We start from the raw sequence: 22,523 nt of genomic DNA, 5'->3' as shown, positions 1-22,523 counted from the left end.
TGGTGAAACCCTGTCTCTACTAAAAATACAAAAAATAACCGGGTGTAGTGGTACACACCTGTAGTCCCAGCTACTTGGGAGGCTGAGGCAGGAGAATCAGTTGAACCTGGGAGGCAGAGGTTGCAGTGAGCTGAGATCGTGCTACTGCACTCCAGCCTGGGTGACAGAGTGAGACTCTGTCCCAAAAAAAAAAAAAAAAAAAAAACTCTAAGGGGGATGTGCTACTCCCCCCACCTTACAGATGAGAAGACTGAGGCTCAGGGAGGAAAGGTGATTCACCCAAAGCCACATAACCAATCACTGGCACCCAGTCTCTGGGTACTGTGCTCTTTCCATTCCTCCAGAGTAGCCTCCCCTCCTTTGGGCCGTGGGGCAGAAGTCTCCAGAACCAATGGAAAAGATTGTTCCAACCAGCAACTTTAGAGTAAGCTTCAAGACCCACCAGTCAGACTTCTGGCCATCACAGCAGGCTCAAGATCCTAGCCAGATCCCTCACAGGGCTCCCCAAGATGGCCACAGATACCCAGAGGGAGGGGACACCCAGGAAGAGTTTTCTTACCAGGCACTGCTGCACTTTCCTGAGGACTGAAGTCTTTTTGTGGGAATCTAAAACCAAGGAGTCCAACCAGCTCTTCCCCAGGCTGATCAGAAAGGGCACACACTGGGAGGCTGGGACAGAAGCCAGGTAGCGGGCCCTGGAGAGAGATGGGGAGAACAAGAGGAGGAACACATGGCTGCTCCTGTTGGCCCCTAAAATCAGGGTCCGCCTGCCCAAGAGCTCATCCCAAAGACATTCTTTAAATGTTTGTTCTTCCCAGTGATGCTTTGGCTCCCTGCAGCAGGTAGCAAGCTTCCCACCCATCATGCTCCTCTTCTATGGGTGGGAACAAACTTCCCATCATGCTCCTCTTCCATGAATGGGCAACAAACTTCCCATCATGCTCTCTTCTATGGGTGGGAACAAACTTCCCATCATGACCCTCTTCTGTGGGTGGGAACAAACTTCCCATCATGCTCCTCTTCTATGCCCCAGAGCATTGATCAGAGAATGGGTTCTCGTAAATAGACATGTTGATTGATGGACTGGTTGAGGGGAGATGAAAAAGAAAGGAAAAAGTAGATGAAAAAAGAGACAACGAGGAGAGAGAATAACTAGAAAGTGAGAAAGAAAGATAAGAAAAAGAGTGGAAAGAGAAATTCTGTCATCTCCAGTCCAGAACTCTGCCTTCCACTCTTGATCCTTCAGCTCTTGACAATGTATTCTCAACAGGGTCAAAGTCACCCTCAAGAAGGAGAAACTGGTTTGGATGGAGATAAAAAAGACTGTTATGACAACGATCTGTAACCCACTGAAGCTCATTCCTACTCAAAATATTTTTCCTCAGTGTATAATTTCTTTCATTCAGGAGAAATTAAAATTTTCTCCTTTGGAAGGCATTAACAAAAGTTGAGAAAGTCTGCATGAAACCCATCCGGCCTACTCAACCCCACCACTTCACTGTTCCAAAACCAGATACAACGTCTTCCCCCAAACATGTTCTTCCGCCTCTATGCTATCCCACACTCCTTTTTTTCTTTATCCCAAGCCTGTCATTGCTATCTCCTTAGCATTATCCCAATCTGTTCTTACTTCTGGCCAGGTGTGGTGGCTCACAGCTATAATCCCAGCACTTTGGGAGGCCAAGGTGGGTCACCTGAGATCAGGAGTTTGAGACCAGCCTGAGCGACATGGTGAAATCCCATCTCTACCAAAAATTCAAAAAATTAGCTGGGCATGGTGGCATGCACACCTGGGGTTTCAACTACTCTAGAGGCTGAAGTGGAAGAATCACTTGAACCTGGGAGACAGAGGTTGCAGTGAGCTGAGATCGCACCACTGCACTCCAACCTGGGTGACAGAATGGGACCCCGTCTCAAAACAACAACAACAAAAAAATCTATTCTAACTTCTCCATTCCCAGTACCACTGTCTTATTTATTTCTTCATTCATCCAGCAAATATCTACAAAGCAACTACAGTAAGCCAGGCACTGTTCTAGGCACCAAATATAACAATGAACAAGACACAAGTGGTCCTTAATTCTAGCAGAGAGAAGAAACACAGAAACCAGTGAACAAAACAAGACATTTGAGCTATTAATAGCTGGCATGGTGGCTCACGCCTGTAATCCCAGCACTTTGGGAGGCCGAGGCAAGCAGATCATCTGAGGTCAGGAGTTTGAGACCAGCCTGGCCATCACGGTGAAACCCTGTCTCTACCAAAAAATACAAAAATTAGCCAGGCGTGGTGGCGCACACCTGTAATCCCAGCTACTGGGGAGGCTGAGGTAGGAGAATCTCTTGAACCCAGGTGGCGGAGGTTGCAATGAGCCAAGATTACACCACTGCACTCCAGCCTGGGTGACAGAGGGAGACTCTGTCTCAAAAATAAATAAATTAATTAATTAATTAATTAATGTAAGGAAGAAAATAAAATGGCTCTGTAAAAGAGAATGACAATGGGGATAATCAAACGAGCCCCTTCTAAGGCAGTTCCATTTGAGCTGAGACATGAATGAGTGGTAGAAGTGCCATGCCAAGATCTGGGTTACTGAAATAATCTTCAGCTGTCTCCCTTCTTTCCATTCAGCCTCCCTGCATTCTATCCTCTATGTGGGTAGTGGCTATGATCTTTCTGAAATATAAATCTGATGGCTGCACACAGAATATGTGTGAAACACCTCACTTTACAAAGCCCCCATGATCTGATGTCCCTTAACTCTCTGGCCTTCTCTCCCCTATCTACTCTGCAGATATACCCCCATGTGTTCCCAGAGTGATTGGCTTTTCTTACCCACTGCTGAACCGGACATCCCCATTCCACTGCCTGGAATGTCCATCTTAAACTCTCTATCCAGCATTAGTTCGGTCTCCCCTGTCTCTCCAGTCTATGGGTGATATTCCCTCCTCTATGTCCAGTCCTCATTATCCCTCCCCTTTGCCTCTCCTTTGGAAGGCAATAAAAAAGTTGAGAAAGGCTGCATGAAACCCATCTGGCCTAGTCAAACCCACCACTTGACTGTTCAAGAACCAGATTCAACATCTTCCCCCAAACATGTTCTTCCACCTCTGTCCTAACAGAGGTGTGTAACAGCACCTGGCTTTCTTGGAAAGCACCTAGTTTTTCTTGGAGAACCATCTCCCTCACTCTAAGTCCTTGTGGTTTCTCTCCAGCTCCAGGGGTGCAATACAGATTGAAGTCAGTCAAAGTTACCCATCCTCCCAACCTCACTGATTGGTTCAAGGAAAACAAATTCGCCCAATTAAGGTCAATGAGAGTCAAACCCAAGATGTGTATTGAGAATGATGGGAAGAGAACATTTTTCTATTTTCCCTGAATATGAAACTGGGAAAATTTAACCTTAGATCTTCCAGGGTTCCCACAGAGGAACAACTTGCCTGATAGTGAAGCCAACAGAGAAAAGCTGGGACAAGAGACAAATGACATCATTTGCACCCCTAGATCGAGCCATGCCTGAAGTCCCTCTCTGAACTTTCCAGTTACCTGAACAAAAAATTCCCTTTTATTGCATAAGCCAGTTTCAGTTTCAGTTCTGTTGCTTTCAACCAAATATCAACCTGATATAATTGGCTTCATGTTTGTCTATTCCCTCTCCCACCATGAGATTATAAGGTCTTATAAATTAATAGGAATTTCTAAATCTTCAGATAGAAAATTTAGCTATCTGAGAACTAGCACACAGCAAGTACTCAATGAACTTTTTTTTTTTTTTGAATGAACGAAGACAATAAGAGCAAAAAAAGGTAGAGGGAAATAAAGAAGGAGAGAAGGAGAGAAACAATGTCCAGATCATGTTTGAAAAGCAGGGCCACCCTGCAGGCCCAAAAGCTCACACATGCCAGGAGAAACGCCTACTGCTCCCCTCAACTCTGATTCCCCTGGAGCCTGGCACAGCCGCAAAGCCAGGCCAGATGGGACCTGCCTCACTGACACTCATTCAGGCTTGGGTTGCTTTGGCTTGGTTTTTAGATAACAGGAAAAGCAAGAAGGTCTGTCTCAAATGTCTGTGTGATACTCAGAATTGAAATCCTGGATCTCAAGGGCTTAACTCTCTAAGGCATCCTCCACTCTGCCTCTGGTTCCTGAAGAAAACCCAGTGGGGAGAGAATCATTTTGACTTCAGTGATTCCCACCGATCTCACTGATGAGCCAGAAGGTGGGGGCTGATGTTCACTTACGGGAGTGCAGCCAAGAGGAAAGGTGGCATAGACAATCTGGAAACTTCCCAGTATTTCCACGCCAAACAATTAACCTGAAAGATTAAGCAGTTCTGGGGATTTAATGCAGTAAGAAGAAGAACAAACACAGTGCTTTCCATGTGCCAGGTACTATTCTAAGTGCTTCATACGTGTTCATTTATGCAATAGAGCACCCTATGATGTAAGTACCACTACTGTGCCCAGTTTATGGATGAGAACGCTGAGGTAATAACAAACATGAACACGGACATTTAAGTGTGAGAATGCTCATCGCAATTTTGCTTATATCTGCAAGAAAGGGAGATATAATTTTAATGTTCCTCAGCAGGGGATTGGTTAAGTAAATTATGGTATATACATACAATGGAATAGTGCACCTACTTTGTTTTAATAAGGTAGATTTATATATATATTAACACTAAATGATGTCTGTGCTATTTTATGCATGTGCATATATATAGTTATATTATATATAATGTAAAAACCACAAATGGGCTCATATTGTACACACAATTCTGTTAAACTATATATATAGCTTAACTATACATATAGTTATATATAGCTTAACTATACATATAGTTATATATAGCTTAACTATATATATAGTTTTATACATATATATATCTTAGCTATATATATAAACAGAACAGCATGTATAGTATGAGCTCACTTGTGTTTTTTTTTTTTGTTTTTTTTTTGAGACAGTCTCACTCTGTCACCTAGGCTGTAGTACAGTGGTGTAATCTCAGCTCACTGCAACCTCCGCCTTCCAGGTTCAAGCAGTTCTCCTGCGTCAGCCTCCCGAGTAGCTAGGATTACAGGCACCCCCCACCATGCACGGCTAATTTTTTTTTTTTTTTGTATTTTTAGTGGGTTTTTTTGGGGTTTTTTTTTTGTATTTTTTAAAAATTTTTTTAGGTTGGCCAGGCTGGTTTCGAACTCCTAACCTCAAGTAATCCACCCATCTCGGCCTCCTAAAGTGCTAAGATTACTGGCGTGAGCCACTGTGCCCGGCCCACTTGTGGTTTTTATATTACATATAGATACTTTTTTAAAATTTGGTTTAGAGATAGAGTCTCACTCTGTCACCCAGGCTGAAATGCAGTGACTCCATCATAACTCACTGCCACCTTGAACTCCCAGGTTCAAGTGATCCTCCTGCCTCAGTTTCCCAAGTAGCTAGGACTACAGGCATGTGCCACCATATTTGGCTAATTTTTGTATTTTTTTGTAGAGTTAGAGTCTTGCTGTATGTTTCCCAGGTTGGTTTCAAAGTCCTATCCTCAAATGAACCTCCCACTTCAGCCTCCCAAAGTGCTAGAATTACAGGCATGAGTCATTGTGACCGGCCTATATTTTATATATAAAAGAAAACTCTCAAAAGTAATAGCAAACTGTTCTTTATAGTTACCTCTGAAACACAGTTGCTCACCTCAGTATTATTGACATTTTCGACCAGGTACCTCTGTGTAGTGGTGCTGTCCTACGCATTGTAGGATGTTGAGCTCCACCCCTGGCCTCTACCCACTAGAGGCCAGTAGCTCTGCTCCGGTTGTGACAACCAAAAATGTTTGCAGACATGGCCAAAAGTCCCCTAAGAGGGCAAAACAGTACTCTGTTGAGAACAACTGCTCTGGGGAAAATTTGGGGAAATTTTACTTTCTCTGTATTGGTTGTTTGTGTGTGTGTGTGTGTGTGTGTGTGTGTGTGTGTGTGTGTGTGTGTAATAATTATGTGTTTTCAGAATGGGCGTGGTGGCTCATGCCTGTAATCCCAGCACTTTAGGAGGCTGAGGCTGGTGGATCACTGGAGGTCAGGAGTTCAAGACCAGCCTGGCCAACATGATGAAACCCCGTCCCTACTAAAAATACAAAAATTAGCCAGGTGTGGTGGTGCGCACCTAGAATCCCAGTTAGACAGGAGACTGAGGCAGGAGAATCACTTGAACCCAGGGGCGGAGGTTGCAGTGAGATTGAACCACTGCATTCCAGCCTGGGCAACAGAGCAAGGTCCTGTCTCAATAATAATAATAATGATAATAATAATAATAATAATAATAATGTGTTTTAGTAAAAATATAAACGAGAAAGGCAAATTTTCTAATTAACTGGTATTTGAAGGCTCTGAGAGCTGGAAGCCTAGGAAAGCACCTTCACTGGGGCAACTCTTCCTGCTCGAACATGTAGGTCTTCCTCAAAGCAGGTCTAGCTTCCATCCATTTGCTCAGTTATTGGCTTGCCCACCTGGGCAGGTCTTTTAATATAGTTCAGTGGTTTGTACCAGCAAACTGATTAGAAATGCAAAGTATTAGGCCTCACCCCTTACCTACTATATGTAAAACTCTGGGAGTGGGGCCCCCAATTTGTGTTTTTACAGCCTTCCACACAATGCTGATGCAAGCTCAACTTTGAGAATCACTAACAGAATTAACAGTCCAAGGGAATGAGAGAGCTTCATTAAAACTTTGCATATTCCTGTAATGATCTTGAAGGATTATACACCAAGCACTCTATGCTTCCTGGTTTTCTGGGAGATAATTTACTCTTTGGAAATTCTTCATTCTGGTCTGAAACACAAGGCCAGAGTTGAGAAGGTGCTTTTTAATATCCATTACAGGAGTCTGTAAGCCAGCGGTTCACACCAAAAGTTCAAATGCTGTAAGGCCTGTGTTTACTAGCTTAGACACTGAAAAATCAGTCACTGGCTGGGTGAAGTGGCTCATGCCTGTCATCCCAGCACTTTGAGAGGCTGAGGCAGGAGGATCACTTGAGCCCAGGAATTTGAGACCAGCCTGGGCAACATATCAAGACCCTATCTCTGCAAAAAATAAATAAATTAGCCAGGCATGGTGGTGTGTGCCTTTAGTTCCAGCTACTCAAGAAGTTGAGACGGAAGGATCTCTTGAGCCCAGGAGGTTGAGGCTGCAATGAACCATGATTATGCCACTGTACTCCAGCCTGGGTGACAGGGCAAGACTGTGTCTCAAAAAAAAAAAAAAAAGAAATCAGTTACTGCTTCTAGTCTCCCCAAAGGTTAAATAGCCTCCATAACCTTTTAGAAAATGAAGTTTTAAGTGAGAAAGAAAATGTTCTCAGAGTACTGTTTGCATTCACAGCTACTCCTGGAAAGTGTTGGAATATTAGCTGAAGGAGTACCTTCCATCCCACGGGAACATAATTATGAACACACAAAATACTGTCCCTTATGAATATATTTTAAGGCTTAAATTTGAGTATGGAATAACCAATCTGTTGATTCTTTGGCTGTAGTGATGTGGGTATTTGGAGCTGTTTAAAAAGAAACTGGAAAAAACCTGGCTCAATCTTTGGCCCTAAGTCATCACTTGCGTCTGAATGATTCTGGCATAAAGATCTTTAGATGCCACAGCCAATCCAGGCCCAGTGACTGGGGTAGGGAGAGAGAATTAGAAGCTGGAAAATGCTTTAACGGTACCTGATAGGGTGAAAGCAGGGCGAAGTTGTTCTGAAAATCCTGGAAATGGGCCAGAAAGAAGTCAGTGCTCATGGCATCAATGTGTGAGCAGGTCACGCCTTTGACCAGCTGCCCAGCACTAGAAAACAAAACAAGGCACTCGGGAGAGGAAGGAAGTGAGGAGGAGAGGAAAGAAAGAGCGAGAGAAGGCAGATATGATCAGATACAAGCTACAGATGTGACTGCCTAACTCTCCCACCTGGAAAAGTAGGCTGCTCTGGCAGAAGGCTCTGAAAGGCCTGTTCAGCACCCAGGCCGAGTTACATTTTCCTACCTCAAAAGCTCCTCAGGCCTTCTGGTGGTCTTTAACAGAAGCTCATACAGGAACAGAGCCTGCGAGAAGAGAATGATCGTTAGCACTGATGGCACACTCAGCGTGTGCCCAACACTGTGAGGCCCTATCAGGAAGGCATTCCACAATCCCATTTTACAGATGGGGAAATGGAGGCTTAACAGGCTATGTGAGTTACCTAGGACTAGACCATTGCTAAGTGGCAGTGCCTGGATTTGAACCAGTGTCAAGGTAATTCCAGAGCCCCACTCTCACACTCCAGATGATTCTCTACACCCCATGAGGCAGATGAGAGGCAAAGACATTGGTGGCAGGGCTGGAGTTTTACTTCCTGTGCTTTAGGAAGCTGCTGACCAGTTGAGAACTCCCTGTGTCTCCTATTCACATGTGCACCTGCCAGGTTCTGAACACCAGGCATCCCAGAATAAACCAGGATGGGCTAGAAAGCACCAGCAATAAAGTACCTGCAGCTAGCAGCATGCACTGTCTTCAAACCACCCCCCAATGAGCACTCTAGAACAATGCCTAGTAGACAGGGGAGTCATTTGTTTTAAGGAACATAATTTTACAGAATCCCTAACTTGCAGACGCAATCAAGTACTACATTTGTCTATTTTATAGACTCTGAAACTTTGAGTATCATTCCCCAGACAGAATAAATTATGAGCTAGCATTAGACATGGTAGCTGAGAGCCAAAAAGCAGCACAAAAGCCCAGGCAAAAGGAATGGACGATGGAGGAAAGTTCTGGACACTGTTTGTGGCCCCAGAGATTTTCCTGGGCTCAGGGTCAAATTCTGGGACCCTCCCATGGTCTTCCCCATCTCAGGAAACAGCAATCCCATCAGCTCAATGGCCGAGACAAAAGTATCTTGAAGTCTTCGGTGGCAGAATGTATTTTCCAAAATAAAACTATTGGCTGGGTGCCCTGGTTCACGCCTGTAATCCCAGGACTTTGGGAGGCCAAGGCGGGCAGATCACTTGAGGTCAAGAGTTCGACACCAGCCTGGCCAACATGGTGAAACCCTGTCTCTATAAAAAATACAAAAATTAGCCGGGCATGATGGTGTGTGCCTGTAATCCCAGCTACTTCAGGAGGTGGAGCCATGAGGATTGCTTGAACTCAGGAGGAGGAGGTTACAGTGAGCCAAGATTGTGCCACTGCACCCCAGCCTGGGTGACCGAGAGAGACTCTGTCTCAAAAAATAAAACAGAATAAAATAAAACGGTTGCCACTGTCACTAAATTTAGAGGTGGTTTGTGACACAGCAATAGATCAGCGGGACATCATCCAGCCTCATGAGAGACCCTGAGCAAGAGCGCCTGGAACAGACAGGGATTTGTGTCGTTTCATTCACTTTTGCACACTCAGCACTGTGAGCAGTGCCTGGCGCACTGTTGGGCTGTGCTTGATAAACATTTGCTGGATGCATGTAATGAAGACTGACTGAATACAAAGGTAGTCAACGATGGTACTAAGGCAGAGCATCCACTTCAACAGCACCATCCCCCCAAGCGGCCTCAATGCTCACAGCATTTAATAATACACATAATAGCCGCGAATACTTACAGTACACAGCCCAGGTGGCATGTATCAGTGACCCTCATTTTATTATCAAAATTATCCCCATTTCGCACATGAGAAAACTGAGGCCATATAAGGAACTTCTCCAAAGCTAATAAATAAGTGGGAGCCAGAATTCATGCTCAGGTCTTGTCTAACTTTTTTTTTAAGAGACAGGGTCTCGCTCTGTCGCCCAGACTGGAGTGGAGTAGCATGACCATAACTCACTGCATTGCGGAACTCCCATGCTCATGTGATCCTCCTGTCTCAGCCTCCTGAGTAGCTGGGACCACAGACATGCATCACCATGCCTGGCTAATTTTTTAACTTTTTGTAGAGACAGGATCTTGCTTGCTATGTTGCCCAGGCTGGTCTCGAACTCCTGGCGTCAAGCGATCCTCCTGCCTCAGCCTGTCCAAATTCTTAACACTATACTATTCTGCCTCCTATACTAATCCCACAGAAATAAATTTCTTTTATCAAATTAACCTTAAAACAGACCATTCATTCTCACAAGACAGATAGTCAGAAATACAGGATCGATCTGTGTTTCATGGTAATACCTGGCTCCTTCCAAGTTCCTTATCCTTCAGGACTGTAGAGTTGAATCCAGGTTGCCTCCTTAAATCAAAGAGAGACACTTCCTTAAAGAAAGCCCCTTGTATCTCCACGATGCCTGGGGCAGTGTCTTCCGCTTGGACCATCTGCCAGAAGCGAGAAGCAACAAAACAACATTGTAAAAAATGCATTGAGCTTTGAGGAAGGGCCAGGCACTACATCACAGGCAATAAAATCCATCAGACCCGCTCAGCAACCCTAGGAAGTGGAGAGTAGCATCATCCCCATTTCACAGGTGAGGAAACAGAGACTTAAAGTGTGATGAGTTGAAAGTCAGTAAGTGACATTCAAGCCCAAGTCTGTCTGATTCCAAAACCCGTGCTCCTTATTTCTTTATTTTAACTGTATGGGCTACTTGCTATCTGCAAGGTATTGGTGTTTTAGGCCAAACCCCTTAGGTTTTAGGGTTTTTTTCTTTTTTTGAGATGGGAATCTCCCTCTGTCGCCAGGCTGGAATTCAGTGGCATGATATTGGCTCGCTGCAGTCTCCGCCTCCTGGGTTCAAGCAATTTCCCTGCCTCAGCCTCCCGAGTAGCTGGGACTACAGAAGTGCACTACCACACCCGGCTAATTTTTCGTATTTTTAGTAGAGACGGGGTTTCACCATGTTGGCCAGGCTGGTCTCAATCTCCTAACCTCATGATCCGCCCACCTTGGCCTACCAAAGTGCTGCGATTACAGGCGTGAGCCACCTCACCTGGCCAAGTTTTGGTTTCTTAACAGATTTTGCCATTGGACAGAACGGACCTGATAGAGCAAGATGTCAAAAGACTCCCTGACAAGTAAAAAAGGGGCCAGGCATGGTGGCTCACACCTGTAATCCCAGCACTGTAGGAGGCCGGGGCAGGTAGATCACTTGAGCCCAGGAGTTTGAGACCAGCCTGGGCAACATGGCAAGACCCCATCTCTAGAAAAACAAAAATTAGTGAGCAGCACAGGCCTGTAGTCCCAGCTACTTGGGAGGCTGAGGTGGGAGGATCCCTTGAGCCCCAGAGGTGGAGGCTGCAGTGAACCAAGATCACGCCACTGCATGCTGGCTGGGGTAATAGAGCAAGACCCTATCTAAACAAACAAACAAAAAAACAGAATACGGACATGGCTGTGGACCATGAAAAGGGCTTTCAGATGCACCCTAGGACTTTGGGTTTATTTTTAGATTTGAAAAACAAATTTTAGGCCAGGCACAGTGGCTCACACCTATAATCCCAGCACTTTGGGAGGCCGAAGCAGAAGGATTATTTGAGGCCAGGAGTTGGAGACCAGCCTGGGCAACATAGCAATACTCCATCTCTACAAAAAATTAATAAATTAGCCAGACATGGTGGCTTGAGGCCAGGAGTTTGAGACTAGCCTGCGCAACATAGCAAGACCATGTCTCTACAAAAAGTTAAAAAAATTAGCCAGGCATGGTGATGTATGCCTGTGGTCCCAGCTACTCAGGAGGTTGAGGCAGGAGGATTGCTTGAGCCCAGGAGACTGTGGTGAGCTATGATCATACCACTGTACTCCAGCCTGGGCAACACAGAAAGACTGTCTCAAAAAAAAAAAACAAACTTGAACCTGAAGTGTTATAAGATCAGGAAACCTGATTTAAGAAAAGTCTTCCAGATTAGACTGTCTGGCAGAACAAAGGGGTCTGGGAAGAATGACAGCATGACTGAAGGGCTCCGTCTGGAAAGGAAGGAAGGTGTGCCACCAGGAGAAGGCAGAGCCACCCCAGACACCAACAGCTGAGACAATCCCAGCCCTGGGTTCATGGCCCAAAGTCACAGCCCACTCACCAACCCCAAAAACATACCCCCTGTGACATGTGGCTGAGCACCAGACATCTTCCTCTCACCTTGCTGAGGATACCTTGCTGCTGGGCAGGTGACAAGTCGGATACATACTGGGAGACGGCACTTCTCAGGACCTGCGAGATGTCCTTGCGTTTCATGCTGCAGAAGGCCTGGGTGCTGACCCCAGCCAGCAGTGCGCCCATCTGGCTGACATTGTAGAAAGACAGCACCTGGAAGAGGAGCGGCTGCGCAGTCAGGCTCTGCTCCCGCCTTTCACCTCTCCAACGTGCACTCAGCCCATCTATGTGCCAAGTATAGGGATGGGTGACACCTTAGGGGCACAGCAGTGAGCCAGACAGATGCTGCCTCCACAGGCCTTCCTTCCTTCTATCAAGAAAGAGAGTTGGCCAGGCATGGTGGCTCACGCCTGTAATCCCAGCACTTTGAGAGGCCAGGCGGGTGGATCACCTGAGGTCAAGAGTTCGAGACCACCTGGCCAACATGGTGCAACCCCATCTCTACTAAAAATACAAAAATTAGCCAGGCATGGTAGCAGGTTCCTGTAATCCCAGCTACTTGGGAGGCTGAGGCAGGAGAATTGCTTGAACCCAGGAGGCAGAGGTTGCAGTGAGCTGAGATTGTACCATTGCACTCCAGACTGGGCAACAAGAGCAAAACTCTGTCAGAAAGAAAAGAAAGAAAGAAAGAAAGAAAGAGAGAGAGAGAGAGGGAGAGGAAAGAAAGAAAGAAAGAAGAGAGAGAGAGAGAAAGAAAGAAAGAGAGAAAGAAAGGAAAGAAAGAAAGAGAAAGAAAGAGAAAGAAAGAGAGAAAGAGAGAAAGAGAGAGAAAGAAAGAGAGAAGGAAAGAAAGAAAGAAAGAAAGGAAGGAAGGAAGGAAGGAAGGAAGGAAGGAAGAAAGGAAAAGAAAGAAAGGAAGGAGGAAAGAAAGAAAGAAAGAAAGAAAAAAGAAAGAAAGGAAAGAAAGAAAGAGAGAGAGAGAAAGAAAGAGAAAGAAAGAAAGAAATTATACTTGGGTTTTTTTTCCTTCCTTTAGAGTGAAGATGCTAGATAGTTTTCCATATAATCAAGGACATGCTTTGGTTCTATGAAAAGACAGCTGAGTGGGTTCCTTTAGTTATTCTGTGTATAATGGGTGATCTCATGCTGTCTTCAAAGAAGGCAAGACCTTTTGACCTCTTGCCTTCTGAGTAAAAGTGGCCTCACCCCTCAGTAGGAAGAGTTGGGTATTAGGAAAGAGACAAACCACTTTGTCCTGGGCTGGGAGGGAACAAAACCGTCTCCCTCAACTCCCTAAAATCAAATTCAGAGAGGACTGTCAAGGTGGACCCATGGAGCCCCAGTCAAGGTCCAGAAACAAGGATTCAAAGCCTTCAACATAAAGTCACCACGAGGCTAGAAGAGACCAGATGAATGGGCTGGCCTGGTACCTGAGTCAGAAAGTGGGAGTGCGTGGGCATTGGTCATGGTGCCATAATGGAGACAGTGAGCACAGGAGTTAAACAAGATGGCTCTGAGGCCAGGTGCCCTGGGTTCAATCCCAGCTGCGTAACTTTCACGTGGCCTTTTCCAGTTCCCTTACACACTCTGTACCTCACAAGAATGAACTGGAAAATGAAGACTACAGCACTACTGACTTCAGAGGATTGTTGGATTAAGTTATTAATTCACTTAGAACACAACCTGGCACATAGTAAGTGTTCAGTAAATGTTTGTTATTCCACACCCTCCCTCCCTTGGCCCCGCGATGGAGGAAGCAGGCTAGGACCAGCCCTCGGAGCTGCAGCTGCCCTTCATCCCTCCCTCGCCCTCTCTACCGACATCCTGCTCCAGTTCCCACTTGGATTTACTTTGGGGAATGTGGTTGGAATATATCTGGCTCAGAACCATGACATACCAAACCCAGCTTTAAAAACTTGAAGAAATTTAAAAAGACTTGGATGCCAAGAAGAAATTCCCTACTCCTTCTCTTTGGGAGGCCAAGGCGAGTAGATTGCTTGAGCCCAGGAGTTTGAGATCTGCCTGGGCAACATTGCAAAATCCCATCTCTACAAAAAAATACAAAAATCAGCCCGGCGTAGTGGCATGTGCCTGTGGTCCCAGCTACTCAGGAGGCTGAGGTGGGAGGATCACCTGAGCCTGGGGGGTCAAGGCTGAAGTGAGCCAAGATCAGATCACTTCACTCCAGCCTGGGCAACATAGTGAGAACCTGTCTCAAAAAACAAAAAAAGAAGAAGAAACCCCCCAGTTCCTGAGGCCGACTCCAGCACTGCCTTCTGGATGCATGGATTCTACTCTATAACTCTTAAACCCCTTTACCGCCTGAATCAAAAGCTTTTGTTTTCATTTTACCACCTGAATCAAAAGCTTTTGTTTTCATTTCCAACCTCAGTGATGCGATCTCGGCTCACTGCAAGCACCGCCTCCCAGGTTCACGCCATTCTCCTGCCTCAGCCTCCCGAGTAGCTGGGACTACAGGCACCCGCCACCATGCCCAGCTAATTTTTTTTTTTTTATTTTTAGTAGAGACATGGTTTCACCGTGTTAGCCAGGATGGTCTTGATCTCCTGACCTCGTGATCTGCCTGTCTCGGCCTCCCAAAGTGCTGGGATTACAGGCGTGAGCCATCGTGCCTGGCCTAGTGATTTTCTTCCTTGTGAGACACTGTGGTATTTTGCTTTAGAACAAGCAAAATGGGGCCCCTTACATTTTCAACATCTTCACCTCTTCCCATATCCTCCTTCAAGCTGCATGGGAGGTACTAACACTAGAATTACGGTGCTAGGTTAGTAAACATGACCTTTAAGGAGTAGTCTCTCCTTTATTCTTTGGGATTCCTACTACTTTTTTCTTTTTTTTTTTTAAGACAGAGTCTTGCTCTGTAGCTCAGCCCAGTCTGGAGTACAGTGGCATGATCTCGGCTCACTGCAACCTCCTCTGCCTCCTGGGTTCAAGTAATTCTTCTGCTTCGGCCTTCCAAGTAGCTGAAATTACGGGTGTGCACCATCATGGCCAGCTAATTTTTCTATTTTTAGTAGAGACAGGGTTTCACCATGTTGTCCAGCTGGTCTCAAACCCCTAGCCTCAAGTGATCCATTCATCTTGGCCTCCCAAAGTGCTGGGATTACAGGCATAAGCCACCATGCCCAGCCTACTACCTTTTGTCAAAATAAAAATTGATGAGTTTTGTATAGTTGGTCAGACACAGTTAAAACTAAATTCACAGTTTAGCAATTATAATGGGTGCTTGTTAAACATCTGGTAGTAAATTATGTTGTTTCAAAGTAATTAAAATTAATATCCAGAAGCCAAAAATAAACAAATGTTTGTTATTATTATTTGATTGGAATGGGTCCTAATCCAATCCTTGTGAGCCAGTTTGCATCCTGGGAAGTGGCCAGGAGTGTGGACTAAACGAGAAGGACACCAAAAGCCAGGCACGGTGGCTAATGCCTGTAATCCCAGCACTTTGGGAGGCTGAGGCAGGCGGATTACAAGGTCTGGAGTTCGAGACCAGCCTGGCCAACATGGCGAAACCTCGTCTCTACTAAAAACACAAAAATTCGCTGGGTGTGGTGGTGGGTGCCTATAATCCCAGCTACTCGGAAGGCTGAGGCAGGAGAATTGCTTGAACCCGGAGGCGGAGGTTGCAATGAGCTGAGGTTGTGCCATTGCATTCCAGCATGGGCGACAAGGGCAAGACTCCGTATCAAAAAAAAAATTAGATGACACCAAAATGCTTAGAACTCAAGTCTCCCAGATTTGGAGCCCTCTGGACTGGACCCAACCCAGGGACATTAATTGTCCCCAAAAGAATGTCCATTTTCCACCCCAGGAGCAGCAAGAACACAGATTAAGACTCCTGTCCCCACCAAAGAGGACTGTCTGCCTGACAGTTCCCTCTCTGCAGCCCAAGATTGGAATAAAATAGCATCATCCCTAATCCCAAAGTAATGGCAAAAACCGCAATTACTTTTTGCATCAACCTAATAGCAGCTTAACAGCAGGCAGGAAAATCCTGGGATGAGTCCCACACGTTGATCCCACTCAGGGATGGCTAATGCCCCTTGAGCTCCTACTCTGTGGTGTCACCTGGTGGTCTAGCTTCTTCATGTGTACCAACTCACATAATATTCGCAGCAATGCTACAGGATAAGTGCTACTGATTTGTTGTTGTTGTTGTTTAATTTTTTTTGAAATGGAGTCTTGCTCTGTCGCCCAGGCTGGAGTGTGGTGGCACAATCTCTGCTCACTGCAACCTCTGCCTCCCAGGTTCAAGCCATCCTCCTGCCTCAGCCTCCCAAGTAGCTGGAAGTACAGGCATGCACCACCACGCCCAGCTAATTTTTGTATTTTTAGTAGAGACGGGATTTCACCATGTTGATCAGGCTGGTCCCAAACTCCTGGCGTCAGGTGATCCTCCCACCTCAGCCTTCCAAAGTGCTGGGATTGCAGGTGTGAGCCACCTTGCCCGGCAGTAAGTGCTATTGTTGTCCACATATTACAAATAGAGAAACTGAGTCAAAGTGAAAATAGCAAATTGCCTAGTGTCACACAGCTAGTAAATGGCAGAGCAAGGATTTGAACCCAGGCAGTCCTCCTCAGCATCATCTTCTTACTGATTGGTTGCCCCCTGCTGTGTGTGTATAACTGATTGTTATGGATTAAATATTTGTGTCTCCCAAGAATTCATATGTCAAAGTCCTAACCCCTAATGTGATGGCATTGGGAGGTGAGACCTTTAAGAGGCCTTTAAGGGTTAGATGAGGTCATGAGATAATGAGGGTCAGGTGGGGCCCTGATCCAATGGGATTAGTTTCCTTGTAAGACGCAACACCAGAGAGCTTGCTCTCATGTGGTCAGGTGAGCACACAGCAAGATGGCGGCCACCTACAGGCCAAGAGAAGAGGCCTCAGAATGAAACCTACCTTTCTGACACCTCGATGTTGGACTTCCCAGTCTCCAGAACTGTGAGAAATAAATTTATGTTGTTTACGTCACTCAATCTACAGTATATTTTTATGGCAGCCTGGCAGGTCTAATACACTTAGGTCATCTTAGGGGAATAAAAAAGAGTTTAAAACTCCAGCTGACCTTCTCATGGGCCAAGTATTTGGCAGACAAGATGATGACCTGGCTCTTGGCCCAACCTGAGACCTGGTTGAGGGTGGAGATGGCTCCGTGCACAGCCTCGGGGGAGAGGGATTCCAGTTGGCTGTAGGTCAAACCTACAACTGCATCCGACAAAGAACCCAGGGTCTCATTGAGGGTCTGGTTCTCCATGGCAATGTCCAGGAGTTCTGCTTTGAGCTGGAAGGAGAGCAAACTGGAATGAGTGTTGACAGGAAGCAGGGCGGTGGCTCCCTCTGACCATATCCAGGGCTATTAGGACTCCACAGCACCTCCCTTGACCCTGTTCCATCAAAGCTTTTGGGCTCAGAAACGATGAAGGAAAGGGACTCCTGCCATGCCCAGACAGTGAGACACCACACGGAGGACACCTCTTCTGGCCTTAGCTTTCATGTGCCAAAAATTCCCTTTGTACTTCATTTAAATATTAATTTGTTATTAAATCAACCTTAATCCATGTCAGAAAGAAATGTTCCTTTTATAACTACACCACACTCTTATAGCATCTGTTGTCCTCTGGTGACCTTGAACTCTATATCCATATATACAGGCTGTTTTCCTTTCATTAAATAGCCAGGGGCCTTTTCACGATAATTTATAATCTGTGTAAAAATAACTTTTTTTTTTTTCTTAAGACAGAGTTTTGCTCTTGTCACCCAGGCTGGAGTATAATGGTGTGGTCTTGGCTCACTGCAACACTGCAACCTCCACCTTCCGGGTTCAAGCGATTCTCCTGCCTCAGTCTTCTGAGTAGCTGGGATTACAGGCACCCACCACCACACTAATGTTTGTATTTTTAGTAGAGACAGGGTTTCACCATGTTGGCCAGGCTGGTCTCAAACTCCTGACCTAATGTAATCCACATGCCTCAGCCTCCCAAAGTGCTGGGATTAGAGGCATGAGCCACCACATCCAGCCAAAAATAACTCTTCACAGTACAAGAAAGTAAAAGTCTCCTGAACATCCTACCACATAAAAATAACCATGATTAGCAATTGGGTGTATATGCTTCCAAGATTTCTTATACCTTTATAAATATAGAGACACTACATAGTTTTTACAGAGTTGTAATATGAACAGAAGCACAATTTACTCTTCTTAAAATTATCTCTTGCACCTCTTTGCACATTTCTATGATCATTTTAATAATTATTTTATTGCAATATGCCTGCCTAATGATAGTAAAGTGTGCGTTACAGCTGCTTTCGGTAAGGAATGTGATAAAGTCACCTACTATACAATGAGCTCTGTAACAAAAAACAAGAATGGTTCATATTTTAACACCCGAATTTACGTAATAACGTAGTCATTTCAGGCAGGTGCACAAAACGGGTTTCTGGCAATATTGAAATAGCCACTGGGGGGCAGCAGAGTGAAGTAGAAGAAACAACTGTCAAAGCGCCTGGGTTCTCTAAGTTCGGCAACTGCCTTACCTAGAAATCAGTTTCCACATCTGTAAAACGAAGGGGTGGACTACAGTGGCAGCTCCCAAAGTGTGGAGCACACCCAGCGGCATCTGCAACACCTGGGAACTTGTTAGAAACGCAGATTGCCAGGCTGCTCCCGGACCTCCTGAATCAGAGACTGGGTGGGGCTCCGAAATCCAGGGATCCCCAGACTCCGGGTCACAGATGGGGACCACCGGGACCCTGGCCTGTTAGGAACCAGCCACAGCAGGAGGTGAGCAGCAGGCCAGTGAGCATTACCGCCTGAGCTCTGCCTCCTGCCAGATCAGAAGCGGCATTAGATTCTCCTAAGAGCAAACCCTATTGTGCACTGTGCATGCAAGGGACCTAGTCTGTGCGCTCTTTATGAGAATCTAATGCCTGATGATCTGTCACTGTCTCTCATCACCCCCAGATGGGACCGTCTAGTTGCAGGAAAACAAGCTCAGAGCTCCCACTGATTTCACATTATGGTGAGTTCTATAGTTATTTCATTATATATTACAATGTAATAATAGAAATAAAGTGCACAGACCGGGCGTGGTGGCTCACGCCTGTAGTCCCAGTACTTTAAGAGGCCATGGCAGGCGGATCACGAGGTTAAGAGAATGAGATCATCCTGGCCACATGGTGAAACCCCGTCTCTACTACAAATACAATAAATAGCTGGGCGTGGTGGCGTGCACCTGTAGTCCCAGCTACTCAGGAGGCTGAGGCAGAGAATTGCTTGAACCTGGGAGGCAGAGGTTGCAGTGAGCCAAGATCGTGCTACCGCACTCCAGCCTGGCAACAGAGCGACACTCCATCAAGAAAGGAGAGGAGAGGGGAAGGGGAAAGGGATGGGGGGGGGAGGGGGAGGGAGGGAGGGAAGGAGGAAAGAAAGAAAGAGAGAGAGTGAGAAAGAGAAGAAAGAAAGGAAGGAAGGAGGGAAGAAAGAAAGAGAGAGACAGAAAGAGAAAGAAAGAGAAAGAAAGAAAGAAAGAAAGAAAGAAAGAAAGAAAGAAAGAAAGAAAGAAAGAAAGAAAGAAAAGGAAGGAGAAGGAAGGTAGGGAGGGAGGGAGGGAGGGAGGAAGGGAGGGAAGGAAGGAAGAGCACAATAAATGTCATGCACTTGAATCATCCTGAAACAATCCCCCGGCCCCAGTCCACGGAAAAAAATTGTCTTCCACAAAACCGGTCCCTGATGCCAAAAAATTGTCTTCCACAAAACTGGAGCGCTGCCACAAGCTGTATTTGAACAGGCCCTCCCTGTGATTTAGATGCACCCTCCAGTTTGAGAACAACTGAGCTAGATGATCCCAAAGGGCTCCCTCGTATCTAATTGCATGCCACCTTCTCCTTGGTCAGGGCTGCCACATGTTGAGACCCCTGGGCCTTAAAATACATTTATCTTCTTATTTTTGCTTGAGCTTGCTTAGGACGGATTCTTTTCCTTGGAAACAAAAATATGCATTCACAGGCTAGGCTCGGTGGCTGACGCCTGTAATCCCAGTACTTTGGGAGGCCAAGGCAGGTGGATCACTTGAGGTCAGGAGTTCAAGACCAGCCTAGTCAACATGGTAAAACCCCATCTCTACTAAAAACACAAAAAATTAGCCGGGCATGGTGGCATGCACCTGTAGTCCCAGCTACTCCAGAGGCTGAGGCAAGGCGAAGGTTGCAATGAGCTGAAATTGTGCCACTTGAACCCGGAAGGTGGAGGTTGCAGTGAGCTGAGATTATGCCACTGCATTCCAGCCTGGGTGACAGAATGAAACTCAAAAAAAAAAAAAAATGAATCTTATAAAAAAAAAAAAAAAGATGCGCTGACCAAAATAGATGACCACACTCTCAAATGTCAAATGTGTTTGGGGACTTTATGGTGATGTGTGGGAAACTGCTGTGAAATTATTGATGGCTTTATCAAAATTTCATTTAATATTATTTTCATGTCATCGTTTCGATTTTAAGCAAATTGAAAAGGGCCACAAAAAGTGGAATGGAAGGGGGTAGAATTGAGACTTGACTGGAAGGAAGAAGAGAGAGATGGAGAGGAAGGAAAATGAGAGAGAGCGTGTTTGCTCATCTGGTCTTGGGAACTCATAACCACCCTGCAATCCAGTGTTCTCAATCCTGGCTGCATTGAAATCACCTGAGAAGCATTAAAATCAGGCCATACCTCAGGCCACACCCCAGAACAATAACATCAGATTCTCTGAGGGTGGCACCTGGCAGGGATGTTACTAATCTAGAGGCAGGTTTGAGAACCACTGCTTTATCTCCTGCCGCTCCAGGTGTGCTCACCAGAGCAGCGGTTCCAGAATCACCTGGAAGCTTGTTGGAAGTGCAGCGTCAGCTGGGCGCAATGGCTCACACCTGTAATCCAAACACTTTGGGAGGCCAAGGGAAGAAGGAGGAAGAAGAGGAAGATGGGAGTCCTGGGCCTCAACCAAGAGCTCCTGAATCAGAATCTGCATTTAAGATCCCCAGGTGATCTGTATGCATATTTAAGTTCGAAGTAGCTGTCCCTTTCTTTTCTTTTCTGTTCTTTTTTTTAGATAGGGTCTTGCTCTGTCATCCAACTAGAGTGCAAAGTCACTATCATAGCTCACTGCAGGCTGGCACTCCTGGGCTCAAGCGATCCTCCTACCTCAGCCTCCCAAGTAGCTGGCACTATAGGCACATGGCTTTTTTTTTTTTCTTTTGAGACAGAGTCTCACTCTGTCACCCAGGCTGGAGTGCAGTGGCACGATCTCAGCTCGCCACAACCTCTGCCTCCCAGGCTCAAGCAATTCTCCTGCCTCAGCCTCCTGAGTAGCTGGGATTACAGGCGCATGCCACCACGCCTGTTTTTGTATTTTTAGTAGAGACAGGGTTTTACCATGTTGGCCATGCTGGTCTCAAACTGACCTCAGGTGATCTGCCTGCCTTGGCCTCCCAAAGTGCTGGGATTACAGGTGTGAACCACCGTGCCCAGCCATTTTTTTGTATTTTTTGCAGAGACAAGGGTCTCATGATGTTGACCAGGCTGGTATCAAACTCCTGGCCTCAAATGATCCTCCCATCTTGGCCTCCCAAAGTGCTGGGATTACAGGCATGAGCCACCGCGCCTGGCTGAGACAGCTTTCTGATTAAATTTTGATCTCCCCAGGGTCTGTTCCTTTGCTATTTTCTGTCTGGGCTTCGATGTTACACTTACCTCAGTATTTGAGATGCCATCTGCTGTGACTGGACTTAAATCCCGACTAATGCTGTGTGTTTTCTCCCAAAGGCTAAGCTAGGCTGTTCTCCCCATTTCTCTGGCTAGTGACACTGAGGCAGAGGCCTCAGGGCCTTGCACCCCAGCTGTACCTTCTGGACGCCAGCCTGGAAGCCCCTCAGGTGGCTGCACTTGATCATCTGGTAAAGCAGGACTTGAGCCACAGTGGCATCCAGCAATTCCAGGTCATTGTAGAAACAAACCAGCAGCCCCAGCCTGTGTGAGAAGAGGAGGGATGGTGGTGGAGGTGTAACCGCAGAACCAGCCCATTCTGGTTCAATTTTGTGTAATAAAATGGTGAGTTGTTTTTCAGTTGCCACGGACTCCCAGGTTGAAGGTCACATAACCTGAACATCCTCAGATGAACCAAATGTGCAACCACAGGCGGAACCTAACTGCTCAGACGAGACCAAGGAATGGGGGCTGAATTATGAAGTGGACACCACATGGCATGGTCCACGATCCAATCAGAATGAGTCCTGGCATCACCTCATGGCATGATCCAATCAGATCACACCTCCCAGCATCACCTTGTAGCAAGACCCAATCAGATCAAGTCTCATTACCCTCCGCCTATAAAACCTGCCCCAGTCCCCAGCTCAGAGACACAGATTTGAGCACTGTCTTCTGTCTCCTTGGCAGTTGATTCACAGTAACCGTTTCTCTCTACAAAAACCTAGTGCTTCAGTG

The 22,523-nt window shown here is 46.1% G+C and overlaps 1 protein-coding gene across 5 annotated transcripts in view; it reads right to left on the bottom strand.

Annotated features, from left to right (window-relative positions):
* Positions 1 to 22,523, bottom strand: part of OTOA (otoancorin) — a 96,762-nt gene that overhangs the window by 33,512 nt on the left and 40,727 nt on the right. For 2 of the 5 annotated variants that reach the window (XR_002957775.1, NM_170664.3), the window contains exons 1-9: positions 22,181 to 22,255; positions 21,926 to 22,049; positions 17,115 to 17,330; positions 12,066 to 12,233; positions 10,171 to 10,311; positions 8,027 to 8,085; positions 7,714 to 7,831; positions 4,240 to 4,313; positions 560 to 695 (exon numbers count right to left, since the gene is read on the bottom strand). Coding sequence is in view for 4 of the 5 variants with exons in the window: in NM_170664.3 (NP_733764.1) it covers positions 560 to 695; positions 4,240 to 4,313; positions 7,714 to 7,831; positions 8,027 to 8,085; positions 10,171 to 10,311; positions 12,066 to 12,233; positions 17,115 to 17,330; positions 21,926 to 22,049; positions 22,181 to 22,188 (1,044 nt within the window). In the remaining variant the exon portion in view is untranslated. The other 3 variants (NM_144672.4, NM_001161683.2, XM_011545748.3) reach the window with 2 other exon arrangements.

The sequence above is a fragment of the Homo sapiens genome, chromosome 16, assembly GCF_000001405.40.
Source record: "Homo sapiens chromosome 16, GRCh38.p14 Primary Assembly".
NCBI classification, from domain to species: Eukaryota; Metazoa; Chordata; class Mammalia; order Primates; family Hominidae; genus Homo; species Homo sapiens.
Note: the sequence above shows the minus strand (reverse complement) of the source record. Positions and strands in the feature narration are given on the sequence as shown.